The 23,293-nt window shown below is 39.3% G+C and overlaps 2 protein-coding genes across 8 annotated transcripts in view; one reads left to right on the top strand and one right to left on the bottom strand.

Moving 5' to 3' along the window:
• The window catches only part of OPRM1 (opioid receptor mu 1), a 236,372-nt gene that overhangs the window by 30,284 nt on the left and 182,795 nt on the right, over positions 1-23,293 (bottom strand). The gene's annotated exons all lie outside the window — the stretch shown is intronic.
• The window catches only part of IPCEF1 (interaction protein for cytohesin exchange factors 1), a 202,308-nt gene that overhangs the window by 140,220 nt on the left and 38,795 nt on the right, over positions 1-23,293 (top strand). For all 7 annotated transcript variants that reach the window (NM_015553.3, NM_001130700.2, NM_001394799.1 and 4 more), the window contains 3 exons: positions 2,308-2,366; positions 3,729-3,814; positions 16,544-16,916. In NM_015553.3, the coding sequence (NP_056368.1) occupies positions 2,308-2,366; positions 3,729-3,814; positions 16,544-16,916 (518 nt within the window). The remainder of the gene's footprint in view (positions 1-2,307; positions 2,367-3,728; positions 3,815-16,543; positions 16,917-23,293) is intronic.

The following is a 23,293-nucleotide window of genomic DNA, read 5'->3' as shown; positions in this document are numbered from 1 at the left end:
CTTTAAACAGTAAAATTATATTCTTCCTGACACTTTTCTATGCATACCAATTCATGCACATACAAAAACATATCGTTTTTGAAGTACAGTGGATCAGGCTAAACATACTATTCTATGCTTGATCTTCTCAATTAAGAGTATATTAGGGTTTTCCATTTTATACAAATTTCCATTACAAATTTGGAAATTTGTAATTTCAAAGGCACAATTACAGAAGATATATTTGTTCATAATTTGTTCATATCTTTTCCAGGTCATTACAACCACCCCCCACCCCCATCTTAGTCCTCTCATTAGCTTCATTATAACAGGAAATTGATAGAATCAGTGTTGATAGAATAAATAATTTATTTATCCATTTTCTTATTAATGTTTTTTCTTTTTGCCATTACAAGCCTTGTTGGCAGTGAACATTCTGCCACATTTGTGTATATGAAAGTGTGTTTCTATAGGATTGATATTTATGATTGGAATTGTTGGGTGAAGGGGATGGATATTTAAATTTTTAATATTATCATCAAATTGCCTGCTCAGAATTGGCTGTATCAGTTTTCATGTTTAATTCAACAAAAGGTGACAATGCTTCTTTTTCTGTTTCCTGCTAAATACTTGAAATCAATAATATTTTTAAGTTTTTTCCAATCCAGTGGTGAAAATATTTTCCTGTGTTTGAGTGTGCATTTCTCAAAATACTATTGAGGCTGAGAAATTTTTTTCGCATATTGTCTAGCTATTTGATTTCTCTGTAAATTTCTGTTCCTTTATTTTGCCTGTTATCCTATTGAGACTTGATATACATTTTTGGGTTCCTGTTTCGTATCTGGGCTCTTCATTGGTCCAATTTTAAGTGGCTACTAAGGAGTTTGTGATTATTATGTGCTGAAGGTGATTTCTTAACAAAGGCTGGAGCTCATCTTTGTTCTTTAGAAACTCCTATTTTGTTTATTTTTTTAAATTTTATTTATTTATTTATTTTTGAGATGGAGTTTCGCTCTTGTTGCCCAGGCTGGAGTGCAGTGGCATGATCTCGGCTCATTGCAACCTCCACCTCCCAGGTACAAGTGATTCTCCTGCCTCAGACTCCCGAGTAGCTGGGATTACAGGCTTCCGCCACCACACCCGGCTAATTTTGTATTTTTTTAAGTAGTGACGGGGTTTCTCCCTGTTGGTCAGGCTGGTCTTGAACTTCTGACCTCAGGTGATCCACCTGCCTTGGCCTCCTGAAGTGCTGGGAGGCATGAACCACCGCTCCCGGCATTGAATTTGTTATATATTTTCTATTCAAAAATAACAGGTACAACAAGACCATGGCAGGTTGAGGGTTGCGTAAGGATTCCTAATTATCTGACAGTTATACAGGTGGGAAGGTGCAATATTTATGGCTTAGTGCAAGTGTAGTATGCTGAATTGTTCATGGCTTGTTCATTGCCCATGGGAGACTGGAAGACATCAAAAGCATAGACGAATTGATAAACGTGTAGCACGGATTTTCCCTGTCTCAAAATAGGTACAGAAATAAGCAAGATCCTCCCAATAAGTAGAAAATTATATAGTTAGGAGTATATGTCATAGACACACTTTGTGTCCCAGCTTTTAAAAATTTGTGTTTCAAGATATGTTCCTAAGTAAACCCTTGAGAAGGAACTACAGTGGTCTGCAGTGATAAGCCAAGTTTGAGTTTCTGTCTCGTTCTATTTTTGTTATTGATGTTTAATTGGAATTCATTGCCAGTAAAATGGTAAATAGGACATTTTCAATTTTTACCTTACATAAAATTCTTCAAGGAATTAAAATTTGTTCTAGTTTAAAAATACCTGTTAAATTCTAGCCAGATTTTTTTTACTGATTGACATAAAAATATTCCTGGATTAAATGGATGATCTTTTCGTACATTTTTTCTAAAATAAACTGACATTATTAAGACATTATTAAGAGTAACACCTAATAACTTTAATAGCCAAGTTACTAAATCCAGTGATAAAGGATTTGATGGTTGCTAAAAATTTCAAATGCAGGATTACAGAAGATGTGTTTGTTCATATATTTGGAATACCTAATTTAGCTGCCCTCATGAACCAACTGAGTAATGGGCCACCTCACATCTTACCTTACAAAAGATACCTTGAGTATGGAAAGTATTGTGAAACCAGAGGCCTTAGGTTTCGATGGCACAAACTTATGCTCTTTCTGGAAATGTGCAGACTGATGGTAGAATCATGACCTAATTTCATAACAAACTCTGGGGGAAGGTGAATGGGTGGGGGGCTAATCTCTTTGGTCAACATTTGCTTTCTATTTGAATTTTAGGTGGTTAAATAAACTTGGATCGGCTGTAATCCATCAGGAATCCACTACAAAGGATGAAGGTATGTTCTATTTTAAATTTCTGAAAATTTAGCAAGAATATTAGAACAGGTTGAAACAGGGTGAAAAAACAATGTCAAGTTCTATGTATAGTCTGATCCTGAGGAAACATGCTTTGGCATTTAAGATGATCTGAAAATATGTGGAGACAGACATATTCACACAGACTCACCAACATGGAATAGAGCTTCCCATGCTGGCTATGAATGCTTTTCACACTTCACCCACACTCCGGCAGCTGTGGGCTTCATGACATCTCAAACAGTCACCGATGCAAATGTTTAATTGCTCCACTTGTGGAATTCTTACTGATAGACATGATCTCGTCATGATCTGGTCAGTTAACTTTCATCCCACTATTTCCTCCCTGATATTTTAATATTTCCACCAGGTGTGTACTGAGGCTAATTACCCTAAGATTGTACCAGGAACCTGAAGGTCATACTGGGACACAGGCCATATTTTTAGCTCAGTCGGTAGCTTTCAGGGTTCAAAAGCTACAGGAGTCTAATTCTTAATGATGTGATTACACCTTAGTGTTGAGAAGAGGGAGGATTTAGCTGCCAGGGCCACTGAACTCATAGTCTTTCTGAAATGCCCAGACCACAAAAGGCCTTGGAAATTGGAAGCAGGGAGTTATATCTTCTGATAACAAAATCATAAAATCTTAGAGTTAGTTAGAAATGGAAAAGTGGCAACTTGATTTGAAACAGTAAAGGGGTACCGTGCAATACCATGAAATCGGTGGTGTCCTAGCCATCTTCTTGGTCCTCTTTTCCATAAAATAAGTACCCATTGTCTATTTATAGATTGTGAGTTAGTACAAAACTACACACAAAACTTCTCCTTGTCCTGGTATGTAAGGCCTTCTATGACATGGCCTCCACCACCTTCTAGCTTCGTTTTCTGCCATATCTTGTAGGGGTCTCCACATACTTGGCCCAGCCTGCTCCCTCAGCCAGAGACTCCCCTTCACAAGTTGTGCACCACTGATAGTTTAGTGATCCTGCCAGTTTCAATTCATTAGGATTCCTACAATCAAAATTAATCACCACTGATTTTGTGTTCTCTTGGTATTATGACTCACACCTCTTTTGAGGAATTATTTTATTTTCCCCAAGCTACGATTTGTCTTCTTCCTGCATATTGGATGCTCTTTGAGGTCAGGAGCCCCGAATTGGCCATTTGTTTCTGCCTCTTATGTAATTCCTTTGCACCAGGTAGTTACCAGGTAGTTCATTAGATATGAACTTTCTGAATTGGATTGAAATTGCAATAGCCAGATGGAGATAAACCTCTGCTCATGCATTATGGAATAAGCGATGACAGCGTTAAAACATTAAGCATTTTCATTTTTGTTATAGAATGTTACAGTGAAAGTGAACAGGAAGATCCAGAAATAGCTGCGGAGACACCACCCCCTCCTCACGCTTCCCAGACTCAGTCTTTGGTATGTACCGACATAAGTAGTCTGTTGGTCATCGATCAGACATGTGGATGTCATTTCTTCCAATTGAATAGGAAGTAGCTTGACCAATAAATTTTTAGAATGGGCTAAATTAAGATACCTGCCAACGAGCAAGTGCAATTTTCAGGGTGCTGATTTTGAGCCTTCTCCATAGCAACCCAGTGGTATGATAAACTTGGTATATTTGTGTGTGACCCGAAGATGTACCGTACTCAGAGAATTCATGAGGATGCAAAGGCTTCTAGGTGACAGGCCAGTGCTTGCAAAGACTTCTTTGACAGTGTTTATTTATGTTCTACTTTTTCTCAGGAAGAATTTAAATGCCTTGCCTATGTGCATGTACTATAACAATGCAAAATGAATTTAGGATGAAAAAAGAGCAGAAAGAAAAAAGGAGAGCCAGAAAGAGAGCAGGAAGTCAGGAGTGGGGTTAGTGCATTAAAAGTGCACATGGAGCGATTTGTGTATTCACTAGAGAGGAATTCAAATTTGATTCTAAGCTTTGGAAGCACCAAATGTAAGTTCACATTATTAATTAATGTGAAGTCTATGGAGAGTTAGCTTCATATTTAGATGCTCTTAGCATTACAGTAATGGCCCCGAGGAAGGGTCATACAATGATCATTGGGGAAGGTGATTTTTGGTTTTATACCTACCATGTACTAGGATGTATGTAGGTGCTTTAAATGCATAAACTTTTAATTCTCCAGGCAACCCTGGAAGTAGTATGATTTAATTTGCATTTTATTTAATGCATTGCATTTAATGAGGCCAAGCACCTTCTCATGTTTGTTAGCCATTAGAACTTTCTCTTTTGTGAAGTGTCTAAGTCTTTCCTACATTTTTAGCTGCTTCCTCCTCCTCCTTTTTCTTTATGAATGATAGGATTTCTTAATTTATTATTCTATGTGTTAGTCCTTTGTCAGCTCTACAGCTATAGTTTGGTGCAAAAGTAGTTCTGCTTTTTGCTATGAAAAATAATGCAAAAAACACAATCACTTTTGCACCAACCTATTAAAAGTGAACAAATGTCACTTTTAATCTTTTTTAAACTGTTCCACAATTTCTCTTTGTAAACACATGTTCTTGATTTTAATATGTCAGATTTATCCATCACCTTCATTGTGGTGAGTGCCTTTTTTTCCCACTGGTTTCAAAAATTGTTTCCTATTCTAGGTCATGAGGAAGTAGATATTCCTGTCTTCATTTCATGGTTAAGGAAACTGAGGTTCAGAGATGTTGAATGGCATGCTCAAGTGTCCAGTGAGTGCCTGAGATGGGAATCCCAGTCTGTTTAGCTTTATAGGACATGCTTTTCCTTTTTTTTTTTTTTCTTTGTTTTTGAGATGGAGTCTTGCTCTGTCACCCGGCCTGGAGTGCAGTGGCACAATCTTGGCTCACTGCAAGCTCTGCCTCCCAGGTTCACACCATTCTCCTGCCTCAGCCTCCCGAGTAGCTGGGGTGCTCGCCACCTCGCCCGGCTAATTTTTTGTATTTTTAGTAGAGACGGGATTTCACCGTGTTAGCCAGGATGGTCTCAATCTCCTGACCTCATGATCCGCCTGCCTCGGCCTCCCAAAGTGCTGGGATTACAAGCGTGAGCCACCGCACCCAGCCAGGACATGCTGTTTCTACTGAACCATGACACCTGTCCATTATAGACCCAAATGATGGCAAGTTCTGACAGGTTACAGTAGCTCATTCACTTACCAGACCTTTTCTGCCAGAATTTCTGTTCAGTGTGATAGTTTTTATCTTTATTGTGTTTTGCAAGTTCCTGGATTTAAGGTATTATATTGATTATTTAAATAATGACCTCTACTGTTTTTTCACACTGTCAGTGGAGAATTGTGGTCATTTTCTAATTTATTTGGCTAGCAGCCAAGAAAAGACATAAATATTGTTGAATAAATGTTTATTAAACTATCTATTAAATATGATTAGCCAAAATTAAGCAAGATATAAATAAAATTAAACTTTGAATATGGTAAAATTTAGAACAATTTTTGAACTACATTTATAATATTATTCTTTCTTACTATATTCATAGCTTCTCCCCAGTGTAATCCTTCTCCTTTTTAAAAATCAATTTTGGATTTTAGAAAAAGCTTTTATTTTCTTTATATCTTTCAAACTTAATGATATCTTCAGACCTTACAATGTTTCTCAGCTTTTGACAACTTTCTGATTAGTTTACCCTTTAATGCCTCTAAAGACATTATCAACTTTGTATTGAATAGGTCTTCAAAAAATGTTCCTTGTTGTTGATTTAAGAGAGGATTATGTATTTTTGCTAAGTTTCTCTCTGTCTCTGTCTTTGTCTCTATGTCTGCTTCTGTGTCTCTCTCCTATTTTAACCTGTAACATACAAATGTTTAGTTGTTCTCCCTCCATTTTTTCCTCAAGTTCATTCTCCCTCACACTGTGCCCACCAATATACCTCTTTTTATGATTATTTAGTTGTAAAATACTGGCATTTTCAGTTTTATAATGGCAAACTAGTATCTCAGGTTACTTTGCTAAGAGCATTGTCAGGCATCTAGAACACACTGGTGAAATAAAAGCAACCGAGTAGCCATATCATGGAGGGCCTTCTAGAACTCTCCCTGGTGAAATAAAAGCAACCAAATTGCCTTCTTAGACAAGGGGTCATGGCTCAATTGCATTATATAATGACAGTCTAACCTGATGCACAATAGAAGTTCAGGGAATACTTGATTTAAAATAAATAAATGAAGGGATACTCATGAAGCCAGTAAGTTAGGTCACTGAACTCAGAAGTATCTTTAAATTTTTTGAATCATCAATCAAATGTTATTTTTTAGAAGTTCTAAGTTGAGCATTTTTTGGCAGGCCATTAATGCTAACATTTTCTAAAGAAATATATTGGAAATCGTCAGATAAACGTTGAACAGTTAGATTTTTTTTCCCCCTTAGAAACAGAATGTGTTCCTCCTGATCACATATTTCCCAGACAGATTTTGTTTTTGTTTTCTTCTCTTTCTGAAAAACAGACATGGAAGGCACTTGGTTAAACTAACATTTAGGCTTTTTATTTAAACAGATGAAATAAAAAAAATATATAGTAACTTTTTTTTTTTTTTTTTTGAGACACAGTCTCAGTCTGTTACACAGGCTGGAGTGCAGTGGCGTGATCACAACTTAAGGCAGCCTCACCCTTGGCTCAGGTCATCCTCCCACCTCGGCCCCCCGAGTAGCTGGGACTACAGGTGTGCACCACCATACCTGGTGAATTTTTTTTTTGTGGAGATAGGGTTTTGCCATGTTCTCTAGGTTGGTCTGTGGCTCCTGAGCTCAAGTGATGCACTCACCTTGGCCTCCCAAAGTGCTAGGATTACAAGCGTAAGCCACTGCACTCAGTCATAGCTTTTATGCAGAGAGTGAATTGAGCTAGTGTTTGGCCCAATACAGTATAGGCTAGCGATGACTTAGATATACAAGCCTAGGGGCAAAAATATTTTTTTCCCCAAGTTTTTGGTTAAAATTTTATTTTGGGTGATGTACTTCCATTTTGTGATAATGAACTCAACAGTATAAAATAATACTATTTTGGAAAATTCAAAAAAATTTAAAATCTTGAAAATATTTAATTCAGTCTAATCATTCTAATTGCTATAGAGTCAAGATAAACAATGAAACCAGTTTGGACTTCTGCTTCTAATGGGCTGAATGACATTTCACGAGATAATAAAGAACATGTCAGGAAATCTTCCTTCAGTGAAGAAGAGGTTTTTATGTTATGTTCCTCCTTCTTCAGAAGGTTTCAGAGGGTTGATAGTGGAAAGAACATCCATTTATTCTCAAAGAAGTTGCAAGTGGGCAGCTTTTAACAGGCTTACTGAAAAGGCTCCAAATAGATGTGAGTCTTTTAGTTTCACTCTGGAAGACAATTTGTAGAAATCATTATCTGTGATTCCTTTAGTTTCACAAAAGAGCAAAAAGAACCAACTTTCTATTTCAAATCTGATAATTTTATAAGCTACAAAGTGAGTTAAGAGCTATAAAAGTCACTAAAAATTTACTCCAGGTATTTTTCCTTCAAGTTTAATTTTAAAAAAGCATCATGAGATAACCTGGTCTATGCTTCTGGGCATATTCATTCATTCAAGAAGTATTTATTGAGAGCCAGCATTCTAAATACTTGGAACACATCAGTGAATAAAGTGGACTGTGATTCATGTTCATCATGGAGCCAAACCTCTAGTTGAGGGAGACTGTTAATAAAAAATCCACATAATAAGGAAAATATATGCTACATCAGAAGTGGAGTCCAGTGAGTCAGGATGTGATGGGGTAGAGATTGGGTTGTGGCAAAGAATAGAGGAGCCAGGACACGTCCGACTGAGAGCTGAGATCTGAGCGAAACCTTGAAAGGTGGTGTGAGAGTCAGCCAAGTGGATATTTGGGGGAAAAGTTTTCCAAGCAAAGGGAACAGTGAGAGTCAAGGTCTCCTTGGTGTGTGGTACTGCAAGGAGCCCTCTGTGGCTGACGCGGGGTGAACCAAGATGAGAGTAGTAGGAAATGAAGCCAAAGCATAGTGGTAGCCATATCGTGGAGGGCATATGGGCCAGTTAAGGACTTTAGGGAGCCTTTGAAAGGTTTGAGCAGAGGAGGGATATAATCAACTTCCATTTCAAATGGAGCCCCCAATCTGCTCTGTGCAACAGACACTGGGAAGTGGGAGGTAGGCATAGAATCAGAAAACTAAGAGAGGGTATACAGTAAGCTATTGCAAAAGATGGCAGCGATTCCATCGGGATAGCAGTGGGGTGGCAGAGAAATGGAATGGTTAGATTTTGAATCCGTTTGGAAGGTAGACCATCAAATAGGCAGATCAAATATGAGACAAACAGAGGAGATAAATATTTCTAATTCCAGCTTCTAGAAGCTTATGCAGATTATTTCAACACAACAATCCTCATATTTTGATGTTTTTCTGAAGTAGTTTTTTAAATATTGAAATGAGGAAAAAAAAATCAGCTAAAATAAACAAAAGAAGCAATAAGGAAAAATAAATCCTGCAAACTGTGGCCCTTGGCCAGCGACAGAGGAGGAAGTCAAAGTTTCCACCAGGCCAAGGTGGGTGGATGGCTTGAGCCCCAGAGTTCAAGACCAGCCTGGGCAACATGGTGAAACCCCGTCTTTACAGAAAAACAAAAAAACAAAAAAAACCCCAAAAAGTTTAAACACAGAAGGAGGTGAAATTAATTTTGGAAATTCACATTTAATCTTAACAAGACATATCTTGAACAGTTGTCTACCAAAGTCATTTGATTATTCAATATCTGTACTAAATGAAAGAACAGAACTGCAAGTGGATAGTTGGGTGAAAAATTCTCAGTGACTATATATACAAGAAAAAGGTAGACAGAAAAATTCACCCTTTCTCCTCAAGATTTCAAAAAATGATTGTAAGCCATATGGTTGAATATCTAACTGATTTTAAGACTTTGCTAAAATTCGTGTTTATATTTTTGCCTCTGGCTTTAACAGCTCATCTTCATTCACAGCCTGCTCTCCTGGCAGTCAGTCACGCAGCCCGGTGGCTCTCCCCCAGCCTCTCTCCTGCCTTCTGCTCCCACTGCCTAGTTGAGGCCCTCATCAGCCCTGACCTGAGTTATTGAAATAGCAGGCTATTTTTCTTTCCCTGTCTCTAGTCCCTCTCTCTCTCCTCCTAAAAACCACCTCCCAATTAGTCTTCCTAAGATGCGGTTCTGATCACATTGATTCACCTGCACAAAAGCTTCCAGTGAATTCTCATTGCTTCTTAAATTAACTCCTGAGTCTTTGGCTTGGTATTTTAGGCCCTTGGCCTGTCTTCAGGCTGCCATTGCAGTCTTGCTGCCAATTTTGCCCTTATCGTCAGCCCAACAAACGGCCTGCTGTTCCCCAAAAGCGTTCCAGACATTCCTGCCCTCGTACCTGTAGGTATAAAGTTTCTCCACTTGCAGGACCACTTGCCCCTGACTCCCACCCCAATCCCACCTTCTAAGTATCTTTCAAAATGGTAGCTTCAGATGTAGATTCCTTCATGAGAACATCTCTAGTCCTCTAGGTCAGGGTAATTCTTCCCTCTTCTGAACTCTCTGTATTCCCATAGTGTTTCTTTTTTTGATGATTTTTTTCATGTTGTTATCACAATCTGCTTTTGATTAGAGATTTTGTGTATCTGGTTTATTTCTCTAATTATTAAATTCTTAAAGTCAGAGCCAGTGCCCAATATCTTTTCATTTACCCACATCATTTATGACTGTGCCTAGCACACATTTGAAACTAAATAAACATTTAATGGACAGATGGATGGGTGAGTGATTATTGTGACTTCATCCACAACCCCCGCAAATTTCTTGTTCCACAAATATTTCCCCATGTGAATGAGAAATATACTACTTTCCACTTGTCTAGTGCTTTTGCATGGCTTTGAGAAGAATGATTTCATTTGACTCTCACAGAAATCTTGTATGAGTTTTACAAATGAGGAAGCCAGGTTCCAGAGAAATACACATAGCTATCGGAAGTAGCATTTGCAAGCTGCTTATGTTTCATGAAGAATATTCTTTATGGGATATCACTTGCCCCTCTTGATAAATTTGAGTTAGTCAGGCAGCTGATAAATATTTTTGTGTATTTACCATGTGCTAGGGACTGTTACCAATATGGGGGTGCCATGAAGAGCTTTTGAGAATAAAGTCTCCTGGCATCTCTTGATAGCCAAGGTAATCCTTTGGCAAAAGCCTCAGATGTAAGCCATTAGTTTCAGGCCTAGCAGCAGCTGGGGAAGGCTGCAGCATAGCCAGGTAAAGGGGATCTGGGTGAGTTTCCGAAGGGTCTGCTATTGTAATCCTAGTTGGAGGAACACAAGCAGAAGCATGGAGATACAAAACTTTATGATGTGTTAGAAAGGAAGGAATAATCAAATATGATAGCATTTGATTTTAAGTGGCAGCCTGGGGTAAACAAAAATGGAAAATGTGCACCTTGTCCTAATTGCAGTTTATTCATTGTCCTCTGAAATATTTCTACAATACACAGCCGCTCAAATTCAGCAGCATATACACTAACTAGTTAGGTAACTAATTAAATAATAATACATAATAAATTAATGTGTTTCTTTGTGTGTGTATGTTTTTATTTTGAAACAGAGTCTTACTCTTGTTGCCCAGGCTAGAGTGCAGTGGTGTGATTTCGGCTCACTGCAACTTCCGCCTCCTGGGTTCAAGTGATTCTCCTGCCTCAGCCTCCCAAGTAGCTGGGATTACAGGCTTGCACCACCACGCCCAGCTAATTTTTGTATTTTTAGTAGAGACAGGGTTTCACCATATTGACCAGGCTGGTCTTGAACTCCTGACCTCAAGTGATCCACCTGTTTTGGCCTCCCAAAGTGCTGAGATTACAGGCATGAGCCTCCACATCTAGCCAATGTTTTAATAAAGCTGTTTTTATTAAAAAAAAATACAGGGATGCTGAATGGAACTAGATGGTGTCTTCTCCCTTGAGCATCTTGAGTTCTGTGTTGAGGAAGAGGGACAATGCAGTAATAATTCAAACAAATTACTTCAAGGACTGACAAATGCTCTGAAGATGAAGTAGGGCAATGGGCTAGGGAGTGGCCAGGGGTTGGGAGTGGAGAGGATACTGCTCTGTCTGCTCTGTCATGGAAGACCCTGTGGAAGAAGTGATATTTCAGTGGAGGTCCAAGCAATGGGAAGGAGGCCGTCCACCCAACATCCACAGGGAAGCCTTTCTGGCAGAAGGGACCAGAGATGTGGTGATGGGACAGAAAGAAGGCCAGTGTGGCTAGAAAGGAGTGGAGAAGGAGGGAGGAGATGCAGGTGGAGGAGTCCTTAGGGGTTCATGTGGACCTTCTAAGCTCTAATGAATACTATGGATATTTTTCTACTTAAGATGGGCAGTTATAAGAGGGTTTTCTGCAGAGGAATATTGTGGACTTTTTGTGTGTGTTAGAAATACTCTATCTGTGGTTTGGAGGATGGACTGGGGTGGGATGGGGGGCACTGATAAGGCAGGAAGCCACTAGAATGGTACTTGCAGGTAAAATGACTTCTTCAAGGTCACATGGATACTAAGGATCACAGTGATGAGTAGATCTTCGGTCAGCACATTGCCCAAGGTCATGCAGAAGGTCAGTGACAGAGAAGGAGTGTACTATTACAAGGTCTTCTGGTATTTAGGGTGATGCTTCTCCTGGCATATAGGAGAAATACAAACATGATACTTCCTGGGGCTTAACAACAATTGACTGGTTTATTTTTTGTTTTTGCTAATATGGCCAATACAAGGAAAGGGAAGCTGTGTACTTTTCTTCCTTTCTTGTCATTTTGGTTTTGTTTTGTTTTGTTTAGACTTTTTTGTTTCCATGTACTTTGACTCCTTAAGATTTCTATGCTGACTCACTTCTGCCTAATTACAGGGTTTGGGTGGCCATTTTAAACTATTTTTTCACCATGTCAAACTTGTGTTTGAAAAACAATTCCAAGAAAAGGATTTTAGGGCTAACATTTGAATGATGCTTCTTCAAGAATTAAAACTATCCTATACAGAAAATAGGAAAAATCAGTATTAATCTTTAATGTAATCATATCATAGTCTCTTAACTAGAACGAAGATTTTTGAAATGTCTTTAACTTCCTCATTTAAATATAAAATACTTAATACCTAAGTGTTCTGAAAGGAATGAAACCACATACAATTATTAATCACTAACTAAATAAAATAATACTTTTATCTGAGGTTATGAGAACATTTTGTCAGGCTATTTGCATTGTAATTGGCACCGATAGCCCCTTGATCCTGGGATTCGGATAAATCACTCAGCAACTTTATGGAGGATTTCAGGGAGCTCCTCCCCCAGAGGCTGAATAACTCTGGGGCGCTTTTCTTCACAAAGCTGGTTCTGGCCAATTCTTTGTCATTAATTTGTCACCAATTATGTGTCAAACAAGAGGCAAAAAATGGAGGTGAAAAATGATTAAAACCAGCCTGTTCTCAGGTAGCTCATCAAAAAGATGAAGAGTCAATCAGTAGTTGCAATCCAGTCATCCCTTGGTATCTGTGGGGGTTTAGTTCCAGGAACCCCATGGAGACCAAAGTCTGTGCATACTCAAGTCCCACAGTGGGTCCTGCAGAACCCACCTACACGAAAAGTCGGCTCCCTGTATCCTTGAGTTTCTCATCCTGCATCCCACAAACGCTGTCTTCATCCCCATTTAGTCATGGATTTGGAATCCATGGATACAGAAGGCTGACTGTATTTATTGGAAAATATCTGTGTTTAAGTGGACCTGTGCAGTTTGAATCCCTACTGTTCAAGGGACAACTGTGTAAGTTGATACACAAAATGACATTCCACCTATTATGATAGAAATAACCGCAGAAGCACCAGGCAAAGCACCTACCTGGCCCCGAGACTATCAGAGAAGGCTTCCTGGAGGAGTTGGTGTTTGAACAGACACACGAAGGTTGGGCTCATATTTACCAGTAGAGGTGGGGCGGAGAGGAGAGACTAGCACTGCCTTCTGCTTTCATTTGATCTTCAGTGGGGAGCTTTATGAGTATGTTGCACAGATGGTTCACAGAAGGCAGTGAGCTAAGAGTTCTATGCTTGATGTTGGCTATTGGTTTCTCCAGAATGTTAGAAATAATGAGCCATGCCTTAGCACTACACGGTCTATAAAGCGTGTTTTCATACTGAATCCTTGGAAATTAAACTCCAGGTTCACTTTCATTTGTATTTGTATTTTATCAATCTCTTTTCCAATGAAAACTCCCCCTGACCTGAATATGTAGTCACTTTCTCATTTTCCTTTTCCTCTTCTCCAAGTCTTCGTGTTTCTTCTATTTCTTTTTTTCCCTTCATTCTTCTTTTCTCCATTTAAAAATGAAATTTATAAGTGGTGCCTGGTGCCTAGAGAAAATGGATTGAGAGAGCATTTGCACTGTGTTTGAGTCATAGCACAAACACGATGACACTTCACAGATATTTCTAATGCTCATTTAACAGGTCTTGATACTTTAAGCAGAGTTTTGAGGTTCAATAAACCTTACAGACAGTCCTGTAGCAACTGTGTACATGGTCTGTTGTTCAAATAGCCCAGTTTGCTATAATCTAATTTAAAGTAGAGTCAGCAGGAGTAAGAGGAAAAGCTTATTTGGTGTTGTTTCGAAAAAAGGAAGTTGATCACATAGAAGTTGAATTTTACTAAAATAGCTCACAATAGGGGAACGTGTCAGGACTGGTCCAGAATGGATATTTTTGTTAATATTTATTTTGTAGATCCTGCTAACGAGTAAACTATTCCTGCCATTTATTTGGACAATTTGGGGGTAGTGCATTCCCTCCTCTAGATAACTAGGGTTTTATTGAAATTATAGGTCTTTGATCTCTTGGTTATTAAAGATCTAAGTGATGTAAGGTAACCAGTTTACAAGGTACTTGACATATTCCTGAATGGATTTTTTTTATGTACGTGCCAGTATATGATTATTGAGAAGATATGTGATTAGTTAGTATCTTAACTAGAGATTTTAATGTCATGCTACTTAAAAGTGTATTTATTGATTATCTGACAATCCGTGTCTAGCATGGAACTGATTGGGTACACATTAGGTAAATATTGGCTTCTCCCATCAAAACTCAGAGCTCAGAATCTACAAATTTCCTGGGGACCATATTGATTTGGAAGAAGGTCAACTGTTCTGAATTAGTTGCAATGATTCTGAGGGTTTTTGAAGAAGATCCTAGTTTGCTCTTTGGCTTCCTCTCTCTGTCAACCTTCCTGACACTTCCTTGGAGTTTTTTTGTTTGTTTGTTTTTTTGAGATGGAGCCTCACTCTGTTGCCCAGGCTGGAGTACAATCATGTGATCTTGGCTCACTGCAACTTCCGCTTCTTGAGTTCAAGTGATTCTCCTGCCTCAGCTTCCCGAGTAGCTGGGATTACAGGCATGAGCCACCATGTCCTGCTAATTTTTGTATTTTTAGTAGAGACGGGGTTTCGCCATGTTGGCCAGGCTGGTCTTGAACTCCTCACCTCAAGAGATCTGCCCACCTCGGCCTCCCAAAGTGCTGGGATTACAGGCATGAGCCACCGCGCCTGGCCTTCCTTAGAGTTTTGAATGCTTGATGTTGACAGGCATGTCCCATAGGATGATGTAATGCAACTGAACCATAAAATGCCTTCTCTACCTTGTCTGCTGTTGGAGATATAGGGTGATCTGTAGAGTACTGGAGTCTAGATTTTTTGATTTTGTTGGCCAATAAAGTTAAAAATGGAGGAACAAGACAGAGTTGCTGAATCTTTATTTTGCTACATAGGACATTAAAGAAAGGAAAAGAGACAAAGAGACAAAGAGACAAAGGCTTATATGTACTGTCACCATTTTTTAAAAAGAAGGCATGTATTTCAACATCAAAATGTAGCAAAGATAAAAATCTCAGAATAAATGAAGTTCTTTCCAAGAATTGTTGGTTATATTAATCCATTTTCACACCTCTGTAAAGAACTATCAGAGACTGGGTAATTTATAAAGAAAAGAGATTTTAATTGACTCACAGTTCCACATGGCTGGGGAGGCCTCAGGAAACTTTACAATCATGGAGGAAGGCGAAGGGGAAACAAGGCACATCTTACATGGTGGCAGCAGAAAGAGTGAGTGAGGTGGGAACTGCCAAACACTTTTAAACTATCAGATCTCATGAGAACTCACTCACTATCATGAGAACAGCATGGGGGAAACCACCCCCATGATCCAATCACCTCCCATCAGGTCCCTCCCTCGACATGTGGGGATTACAATTCGAGGTGAGATTTGGATAGGGACACAGAACCAACCATATCATTGGTGATGTTGCTTTGATGTTTTCTCTGTGTACTGATGAAAATGTCGCCAAGGCTTTTCATGCACTAAGGAGTATGTGAGCGATATTCAAGGGTTTAAGTTCGTATTTTGTTTCTGGAATGGCTCCAGCTTTTGCTCTCTTTTTCTTTTCTGGAGGCAGAGTCTCACTCTGTCACCCAGACTGGAGTGCAGTGGCATGATCTTAGCTCGCTGCAATCTCTGCCTCCCAGGTTCAAGTGATTCTCCTGCCTCAGTCTCCTGAATAGCTGGGACTACAGGTGCGCGCCACCAAGCCAGGCTAATTTTTGTATTTTTAGTAGAGATGGGGTTTCAACATACTGGCCCGGCTGGTCTCAAACTCCCGGCCTCAGGTGATCTGCCTGTCTCGGTCTTCCAAAGTGCTGGGATTACAGGCATGAGCCATCGCACCCAGCCTCTCCTTTTTCATAATTATCTTTCTTGTTCCATCAGTGTGAATTCAGTGATAGATTGCAAATTATATTTTGCTCAAAGTGTAATGCAGTATTCTGAAGCATTCCCAAAAGAGGCCTTTTAAGTTTCTGGAGAGCATTGAAGAATAGGACAAATCATGATAAGGAGATTTTTCAGATCCTAGAACAGTGAATTTAAAGTTACATAAATCAGTTTTGGAGAATGAAATCCTAATGTGTGTCAAACAGAAATAAATATCATATCTTTACCTTTTGACTCTTTTATTATTGGTCACTTTTTGAAATAACACGGGGACACCGTGATTGAAAATAAAAGGTAGAGAATGATGGTTTAATCATGATGTCTTTTATTCTTTTTTTGGTTTTATTTGTGAAAAATAGACTGCACAGCAGGCATCTTCATCCTCACCCAGCCTGAGTGGAACGTCGTATTCTTTCTCTTCCCTGGAAAATACAGTGAAGACACCCAGCAGTTTTCCTTCCTCCTTATCTAAAGAGAGACAATCCTTGCCTGACACAGTTAACAGTTTGTCTGCTGCTGAAGATGAGGGACAACCAATAACGTTTGCTGTGCAAGTTCATTCACCTGTACCCTCAGAGGCAGGCATCCACAAGGCCCTGGAAAACAGTTTTGTCACATCAGAAAGTGGATTTTTGAACTCTTTATCTAGTGATGATACTTCTTCATTGAGTAGCAATCATGACCATCTTACTGTCCCAGATAAGCCTGCTGGATCAAAGATCATGGACAAAGGTAAACCAATAAATTATTTATTCTTCGTTAGAGAGTGAATATTTGTTTGTATATGGAACTGTAATATTAATTTGTAACAAGAATGGTTAAACTCATGAATGATGATTCAATAATTAGTCAAGTGGGGCTATGCCCAGAGGTTGCTTTGTAGAGGAGTTTGCATGTGGACAACTCCAGCTACTAGGCCACTAATTACTTGCTATAAGTGTCACTAACCAATTGCTTCAGAACTCCAAGACATGTGATCATAAAATAATGATACTTTTCCACCAATCGGAGAAAAAACTTGCCTCTTTTTTGGTCCCATGTCCCATGCGCTGGAGCCTGTGGTGGTTAAATCAGGATTTTGTAGTCTGGTATTCATAACATCACCTTGATAGTTCAAAATGAGCTTAGATCAGCCACTTTCTCTGGGCTGTGCCCCAGACAGTATCTAATTCTTAGCCTGTCGGCTCCTGAATGTTCCTGTGTGGTTGATGGGAAGACAGACAATTTGCATGCACTTTGTGCAGCATTAGAACCTTTACATATAAAGGAGAGCACAACTCATGCGTTCAGAAAACATTTTAAGTCTTAACAAAGGAAAGAATTAATTGTGTGTGGAAGTTAATAATATGAGGTTTAAAAAATACTCTGATAACTGGTCCTTGTCTTTTATCCAGGACTAACTTATTTTTATTACTGTTCAATCGTGACGTATCTTTTCTGATTGTGCGCTATTCATTCTGCTGTAAAACACGCTTACCTGATGGAAGATACTGAGCAGTGAAAGAATGATGAGTTTGGTTTGTATATTTTTGGTGTGCCATTGAGAGAAAGTTGACTTGCTAAATTCTCATAATCACTTGCCAGAGTGTCTAATGACATAGATGACTGCTCTCTCCTCTCCTCTAGCCTAATCAGGGAATGTTTCTTTAAGTTCTCAAATTTCAGATGGGTACCCTGCTAATTTAATTTTTGGTATCAGCGTAATTTGCCCAAGGATCACAACTGCAGAACAAGTTGTGTGTGTGTGTGTGTGTGTGTGTGTGTGTGTATGTAATATTTTAAAAGTATGTAAATTTCATTACTCAGCCTGGTAACTAATTCTCCAAGTTATAACAGTTGTCACCACTCTCTGAGGCCTTACCTAAAGATGCTTTACACAGACCTGCCTGGCCTCTGATGGCATTTTTCTTATACTTCTCCCCTTTATTTAGGCCAACTATCTAGATTAGAAGAACTGGAGTAAATAAAGTCTGGCAAACCAACCTATTTCTAGAGGTGAATGAGTAGCATAGGGAGGAGAAAGGAAACCTTGTCACTGAGGAATGGAGAGGGCTGAAGATTGGACTGTGAGGAAGAGTAGTCTCAACCCGCCCTCAGGTTTGTGAGTTGCTGTCGTTTGGTGAAAGTATTGAGCTTAATTGTATCTCCTTGGAAGCACAGAATTGAGTTCAATGGTGCAAGTCAAAAGGAGATAGATTCATGCTCAGCATAAGAACTTTTTTTTGATGTTGTGAACTCTTCAAAAAATAGAATGGGTTCCTTGGAAAGGAATGCATTCCTTATCACTGGAGGTCTTTACTCATTCTGAGACAAACATTTTCATTGAATATTGATTGCCTATTGTGTATTGGTCACACCTCTTGTTCTTGAAAAGATATACTGAAGAGAGAATTTAAGCATCTTGAACTAGATGACCTCTATCTTGATGCTTAGAAGAGACTTCCAGATATAGGACTGGTGAAACTAAAGAAAATAATAAAAAGTACTACATCTATTATTTTTCTCCTACAAACGCTTACTTTAATCACTGGGTCGTAAGTAGAACTAAAAAAATTTCAAACACACACACACACCCCCCAGGATGAGCATAGCTTCAAAAACATACTAGAGAATAAAATCCCATTTGCATTCTTTCCCAAGAGATAACCCTGGAGGTTGAGGGTTTTCTTTTAGGACCATAGCCAGAGACATGGGAAGATGCAACAGTCCTTGTTCCTGGCTAAATGCCATTCCAGGATTGCATGTGCTGTAGAGCCTGGCTGGGTACCACCAGCCCTTTTAATGTAAGAATGAAGCAACCTGGTATTATTTAGTTTTGAGTTACATGCAGAGTGACCAGCAAAATCTGTATACTTCTTCAAACAGCTCAATGTGACAGTATTCCTCTTGGTAAAAAGGAAAAGAAAATGAAAGTATTTTTTTTCTCTCATTGATTTGTTGGCAGTTCTCATATGCTACAGAATTTTTGCTGATGATTTTCTTCTGCTGCTGGGGATTTGGTTAAATTCCCAGAAGAACTGAACCACTTAAAGTCATCTCTATGGAAACAGCAACCCAATCTTTGCTTGCATTTGTGATGACTTGCTGTTGAGTAATCAAATTTCATATTGTGCATTTTTTTTTACATGTGTGTTTATGTGTTGCAGACAAAGGTAGCTTTTCATTTTTGTGACTTTTAAAAGGTATTGTTTTTGAGTTACTAATAAAAAATTCCTGAAATTCTTGTGTCTGAAATTGTTCAAGGTGTTTTTATATCAGGGATAGAAATCTTAACATGGTTCAAAATGAGAGCTAGGATTTTAAAAGATTAAGTCCCAGTCTCAGGATGCATTTGCTGGAAGAAGAGGCTTTCATCCTAGCAAAGATTCTTAAAGATTAATAACTGAGTCCTGAAACAAGCAGACAGTACATATTACAGTCTTCCTTTTATTTAGACAATGAAAGAAATATTTTTGCAGTTAGTATGCAATTAAAATTGTGGTTGCTAGGATTTTATGCTGAATTTAAATACTCTGTTAGACATTTTCTCCTGTAGTGTTAAGCTATTGAAAAAATAAAATCAGGGTGTTAATTGCCTCCTATTGCCTTTCTTCACTGAGAGTTCCAGGTTCCAGAGCTCTAGGAATTATTCACTGATTATTTTCACAAAGCATAATGGGAAAAGAGGTGAGAGGGTTAATGACATGTTCATTTCAGCTCAATTTTACCCTGTGCTCCTCATTTCTTTTGTTAGAAATTTTTTGAACCATGACTTATGCCTGTGTGATAGTAAGTCACATATGTACAACACACACTACCTGCTGACAATGTGGAGACAATGTCACTTCTACTTAATGAATGAAGAAACCTTACTCTGGATGCTGAAAAGCTGCATGTCAGCAAATAAGACGAATACCCAATTTATACAAATAAATTATCAGGTATAAGCACAGCCAGAATTGATCTGGGAGTCATGTAGATAACAAGCTTAATTAAAAAAAATAAAACATTGTTAAAGAAGAGGCAGGCATTCTAGAGCATGCATGATGTTTCAGGAAAGTGACATGAATGAGCCAGATTTTAGGATTTAAAAAATATTAACAAAATTGTACACAATCTGAGTGTGAACAGTACTTTAGCTAGCTACTTTGAGAGTTGCTGTTGGAATCATGCAGTATGCCTCCTCAGGAAGTATGTAATAAAAAATAAGTCCAAAACTGGACTCCATTCAATTTTGCATTATTATATTGTGTATATATCATTTTTTTGAGTACCTAACATACATGTGCTGATGTACTTTGTGCTAAAGTGAATAAAATGTGAACCAGGGGGACTGGGCAGGGTGGCTCACATCTGTAATCCCAGCACTTTGTGAGGCCGAGGTAGGCGGATCACGAGGTCAGGAGTTCGAGACCAGCCTGGCCAACATAGTAAAACCCTGTCTCTACTAAAAATACAAAAATTAGCCAGGTATGGTGGCACACACCTGTAATCCCAGCTACTCTAGAGGCTGAGGCAGGAGAATTGCTTGAACCTGCGAGGCAGAGGTTGCAGTGAGCCGAGATTGCACCACTGCACCCCAGCCTGGGTGACAGAGCAAGACTCCGTTTCAAAAAAAAAAAAAAAAAATTGTGAACAAGGTACAATTCTGGTCTAAAAAATGTTAACACCTAATGGGCTGAGTGGGAGGAACTAGACACATTTAACAAAAGAAAGCAGAGTAAAATAGGTGCCACAGAAGAGATACAGAGCACTCCAGAGAGAGGTTTAAAAGAGAGCAGGGACCCAAGACAAGATCTCATCTAAGTGGCAAGATATGTACATGGAGAAGGGAGGCGTGGGTAAAGGGGATGGAAAGGACATTTGGTTGAGGTTGAATACTGGGATAGGTGTTCCTTAATTTAAACAGCTAATGGATGACCATTTCTCATCAGGGTGAGTTGGAAGTATGCTTTAGAAAAATTATTGTAGCTGGGCCAGGCACGGTGGCTCACACCTGTAATCCCAGCACTTTGGGAGGCCGAGGTGGGCGGATCACAAGGTCAGGAGATCGAGACCATCCTGGCTAACATGGTGAAACCCCATCTCTATTAAAAACACAAAAAATTAGCCAGGTGTGGTGGCGGGCGCCTGTAGTCCCACCTACTCGGGAGGCTGAGGCAGGAGAATGGTGTGAACCCTGGAGGCGGAGATTGCAGTGAGCCGAGATCGTGCCACTGCACTCCAGCCTGGGTGACAGAGCGAGATTCTGTCTCAAAAAAAAAAAAAAAAAAGAAAGAAAAGAAAAATTATTTTAGCTGTAGAGTGCAGGGAAGAAGAGAATAAGAGGAGACAGGACATAAGAAGGTTTAGGGAGCCTGCATAACAGCTGAGGTGGCAGTGGAGACGGGAAGGAAGGGGAGATGAGGGGTTCTGCAGCATGCCTATCAGGGTGAAGACTGATCTTGGCCTTTGTATCCTCAGCACTTAATTTTGTTCCTAGAACATTACCTAGTAATCTTGTTTTGTGAAGTATCATTTGATGTTGGGAAAACCTTGAATATATGATCATTGGCATCAATGGCATTGATCTCAGGCATGGGTGATTCACCACCTGCTTTCTCTGATCCTGTGTCAGGTGGCTAAAGATCTCTATGAGTTGTCATGAAGTTATGCTGATTAGGTTACCTGCAGATTTGTGTGATTTAAGTAGGCCATTCATAGTACTTAGATTTTACATTACCTTTGTTTTTCATCCTACTTCCTACAATTTTTCCTGAAGCTAGGAGTTAGGAGTGGTAGGTGGTAGGAAGTCACTGGGGCAAAGGTATGGGAGATGGTGACAAGTGTAATCTAGAGTTTGGAGGTACGTAAGCTTAGAGTGGCGATGACAGTTTGAAAGAAGTAGGAGGGGTTGAGGAGTTGGAGGTCATAATTGAAAAAGGAAGGTAGTAGGTTCAGAAGAGACAGAATGTGAATAAGGTAAGAGGAATCTTCCACTCAGAAAGGAATAAATTTAGAGGTGAGGATTTTATTTTATTTGAGACAGAGTTTCACTCTTGTTGCCCATGCTGGAGTGCAATGGTGTGATCTCAGCTCACGGCAACCTCTGCCTCCTGCGTTCAAGTGATTCTCCTGCCTCAGCCTCCCAAGTAGCTGGGATTACAGGCATGCGCCACCACGCCTGGCTAATTTTGTATTTTTAGTAGAGATGGGGTTTCACCACGTTGGTCAGGCTGGTCTCGAACTCCTGATCTCATGTGATCCACCCGCCTCGGCCTCCCAAATTGCTGGGATTACAGGCATGAGCCACCGTGATTTTAGATGTAAAACAGTTTGAAACGTTGAGGAGCGGGTATTAACAGTGATCTGCCCTGGGCGTTAAGTACGCTAGGTGTACCACTGCTCATGGTCACAAATTCCTGCCCAGAATACCACATTTATTATGATGTAAACTGTGTATGTCATGACAAAAAAAAGTCTTTGAAGTCTGTTATGTTGGACATCCCTTTTAATACTATGCTACTAGAATTGTGTTTTATCAACAGTTTTTTGAGCACTTTTTGTCTGTATAGAGTATGGAAAACAGCATTGGAAGAAAAAAATAGGGAGTATTGTCATGTTTGATGCTGGGGTCATTTCTAAATTAATGTGGCTTTGAGCCAAAGTGACCTGTCACAGGCCTCTCCTCCTTGTCTGTCTGGCAGCAAGGCCGAAGTGTTTGTTTTGCTTATCATGTGGTCTAGCGGTGTAGAGGGTTGGAAAGTTATCAGAGGGGTCTTCAATTTTTCTTCTCTTTCTTATAACTTCTTGTTGTTGATTAAATCCTTGGTTTTCTTTCTTTTTTGATGTTATTGAAGTTTTTATTATTTACTCCTTAGCAGGAGAGTACAAGTATATGCAGATAGATGCGTATTTTTATTTATTTTTAATTTGTTATTTCCATAGGTTTTTGGGGAACAGGTGGTGTTGTGTGGTTACATGAATGAGTTCTTCAGTGGTGATTTCTGAGATTTTGCTCAGCAGCATATACTGTACCCAACTTGTAGTCTTTTATCTGTCACCTCACTCTTATCCTTTCCCCCGAGTCCCCAAAGTCTATTTTATCGTGCCTTTGCATCCTCATAGCTTAGCTCCCACTTATGAGTGAG

This window comes from Homo sapiens, chromosome 6 (genome assembly GCF_000001405.40).
Source record: "Homo sapiens chromosome 6, GRCh38.p14 Primary Assembly".
In the NCBI taxonomy this organism is placed as follows: domain Eukaryota; kingdom Metazoa; phylum Chordata; class Mammalia; order Primates; family Hominidae; genus Homo; species Homo sapiens.
The sequence above is the reverse complement of the archived record's forward strand: the minus strand, read 5'-3'. Positions and strand labels throughout refer to the sequence as shown.